The sequence below is a fragment of the Homo sapiens genome, chromosome 6 (genome assembly GCF_000001405.40).
Source record: "Homo sapiens chromosome 6, GRCh38.p14 Primary Assembly".
Lineage (NCBI taxonomy): Eukaryota > Metazoa > Chordata > Mammalia > Primates > Hominidae > Homo > Homo sapiens.
In genome coordinates, this window is record NC_000006.12 from 9,613,864 (window position 1) to 9,615,798 (window position 1,935).

At 44.9% G+C, this 1,935-nt stretch overlaps 1 annotated feature.

Annotated features, from left to right (window-relative positions):
• Positions 493–1,692: an enhancer, noted in NCBI's record as "MED14-independent group 3 enhancer chr6:9614589-9615788 (GRCh37/hg19 assembly coordinates)". NCBI's record gives its function as "activates an origin of replication core promoter dependent on BRD2, BRD4, P300/CBP and CDK7 cofactors, and independent of MED14, by STARR-seq in HCT116 cells {active_cell/tissue: HCT116}" and the evidence as "EXISTENCE:reporter gene assay evidence [ECO:0000049][PMID:35650434]".

The window sequence follows — 1,935 nt, forward strand, 5'->3', positions numbered from 1 at the left end:
GTTCAAGCAATTCTCCTGCCTCGGCCTCCTGAGTAGCTGGGATTACAGGCGCTCACCACCACACCCACCTAATTTTTGTATTTTTAGTAGAGATGGGGTTTCACCCAGTTGGCCAGGCTGGTCTTGAACTCGTGACCTCAGGTGATATCCCCGCCTCGGCCTCCCAAAGTGTTAGGATTACAGGCATGAGCCACCGCGCCCAGTGCTTCTTCTCCTTTTTAACCACTCCTAATCGTAGGAGAGAGAGGGTTGAATTGCCTTCTACCCAGAGACATCTTTGACTGATTTAGTATCTAGGAGGAAAGGTAGGGGTGGGGGATAGACTAGAAAGTGAGGTGGCATTATTTATTATTTAGTGGCAGGCTCTAAGGTAGCAGTTGTAGTACACACACACATGCACACACACACATGCACACACACACATTTTTAACAATTTAAGTATGTGCAGCCTGTCAGGTTAGTATTATTATTCCCATTTTATAGACAAAGAAACTAAGACTCGGAAATGTTAAGTAACTTGCTCAAAGACACAGTTATGTGATGATATTTACTAAGAGGTAACCTTTACTCCTGCGGCTCAGGTTTCCCTATTTTCCTGGCCTCTCTTCTCAAGTTTAACTTACTCTTCTCCCTGGTGCATTTGAAACAAGAAAGCAGAGGAGCTTTCCTTGTCCCTCCTCTCTCATTCTTTTGGATTCAGGCTGCCCCAGGAAGTACCTATATTCTTTGCCTATCTCTAATGTCATTTTAAGCAGAGCAGGCCCCTTTCAGGAAGAGTCTCCTTCCTTCTGAGTGACAAAGTAGCAAACCCACTTGGCTGCCGATCTACAGCCACATCTTCCAAACAGCTTTTGCAGTAATGAGGCTGAGATTTTTATTTCCTTTGGTCTGGTTCCTGTGTCTTCTTAATTTTGTCAAATAGCTCAGGGTGGGGAAGAGACGTATAACATACTAGCCCCCTGAGAACCCAACAGTAATCAGGCAGCTCTGATATTTGAACCCATATTGGCCTGACTCTAAAGCCCACACATTTTTGCTTTCACCGTGTGGTAAAATGTTTGATCACAGAGTGCACTATTGTTGTGCACGCATGTGCTGCTGCAGAATGGGGATATGTCTGAACACGATCTGGGTGCTGAATTTTCTCTTTACTAAGTGTGCATATGGAAGACTCTGTGGGAAGATTTTCCTATCTTTGGTCTGGGTGGAAACTTAGCAGAAATAGAGGCAGCATTCAAATCACCTCGGACATTCCGTTCTACTAATGTCCCATGGAAGGTTCTCAAGGTCCTTGGAATTGAAGATTAACTAGGAAAGGTACTGGAATACATTCTTTTTCTCCCTTCCTTGAACCATAAGGGTCTAATACCAAAGCTATTATGGTCATTTCAGAATTTCTAGCCATCAATTCTTAACATAGGACAGGACACCCGAAACACCTGTGAACAGCAAGGTATGTGGACCAGGTTAGATCCTACTATATTGCTGTATGAGTATACACCTTTTTTTTGGGGGGGGGGGAAAGAAAGAAAGGGGAGAGAGAAAGAGAGAAATTAGAGTGAGTGACCCATACAACTTCACTAAAATATTTTTTGTTTGTTTGTTTTTTGTTATTTTAGACAGAGTTTTGCTCTTGTTGCCTGGGCTGGAGTGCAATGGTGTAATCTCCGCTCACTGCAACCTCCGCCTCATGGGTTCAAGTGATTCTCCTGCCTCAGCCTCCCGAGTAGCTGGGATTACAGGTGCCTGCCACCACACCTGCCGTATTTTTTGTAGAGACGGGGTTTCACCATGTTGGCCAGGCTGGTCTCGAAATTCTGACCTCAGTTGATCCATCCACCTTGGCCTCCCAAAGTGCTGGGATTACAGGCGTGAGCCACTGCGCCTGGCCTAGAAATGGTTTAAGGTTCTGAATTAGATGCTCATACAGAAGAG